Below are 1,071 nucleotides of genomic sequence, written 5' to 3' on the forward strand. Positions count from 1 at the left end.
GCAAAGCATCACTTATCAACAACAGCCTTGAAGGAGAGAGTTGAAGAGAGTAATTTTTTTTTGACATCACAAGGGTAAATATAAAGCTGTGTCATTAGTTCAAGTTTAAGCTAAGACTGCTCCAAATTTCCACACATTGAATGTTGAAACCATACTTGACTTTGGCATCAGGCAATGTCATTTAATATGTTCATATGGCTTTGCATGCCGTTAAGCATGCACTGTGTATTATTTTATGATGTTTGAGTTGGACTCATACTTTTTGGGTGCACGTATTTGTGTTTTTTCAGATTCTTGTGAAAACCTGGAGAAACCTGTTTCCAATTTCATGACCGTTTATCACTAATCTAAAATGACTGCAGCATTACCTACAGACCTACAGACAGGAAGCTCTAAGAATTGGATCCATCATATATTTGCACAGAAGCTCTGTTAAACCAGTTTTGTGCTTACATAGATGAAAGTGACAGTCTGATGGGGAAGAGGACAAAGTATTATACTTAGCTACAGAATGAAAAAATAATAATTTATGTAATTCAACAAAAGGTAAAGGAACAATGATATTGGTGCTTTCAGTAATTGCTTGATCACTGGAAACTTACTGTCTCTTGAAGTTTCTAATATTCTCTACAGAATCACCCTCACCTGGAGTTTTCATTCATGAACAAATTTAAGAGAAAGAAAGCCAAATCATGGTTTTCCACTTGGGATAGTACCCTTAATCAGGCATAAAGTGCACTTTTCCTGGAAAATCTTCAAACAAGTTTGGAAATATTGCAGCTGTGAAGTAATTAAGGTACTTGGAGCCTGTAAAGCAATTTATGTGACTATAATCACAAATGTCATCATGTTAGGGTACACTTAATGCTCAAAAACAGCTTGTGCTATCCCTTAAAGATTCCTCCTTCTAAACAAATGATCTGTGGTAGTAATGCAAACTTTCCTACTTCAATGATATTTTCATACGCTTGGTCTTTCACAGAGATATTTGATACAAATCTATAAAAATGATGCTATATTTAAAGCAACTCATTTAAGAAAATGATTATATTTACTCTATGTTTAAAGATG

General features: G+C 34.3%; 1 annotated feature.

Annotated features, from left to right (window-relative positions):
* Positions 450 to 619: an enhancer, noted in NCBI's record as "experimental_73007 CRE fragment used in MPRA reporter constructs". NCBI's record gives its function as "activates a minimal promoter by MPRAs in K562 erythroleukemia cells, with activity observed for both the introgressed and non-introgressed 4:127461364 variant alleles {active_cell/tissue: K562}" and the evidence as "EXISTENCE:reporter gene assay evidence [ECO:0000049][PMID:34662402]".

Source organism: Homo sapiens, chromosome 4 (assembly GCF_000001405.40).
Source record: "Homo sapiens chromosome 4, GRCh38.p14 Primary Assembly".
Classification (NCBI taxonomy): domain Eukaryota; kingdom Metazoa; phylum Chordata; class Mammalia; order Primates; family Hominidae; genus Homo; species Homo sapiens.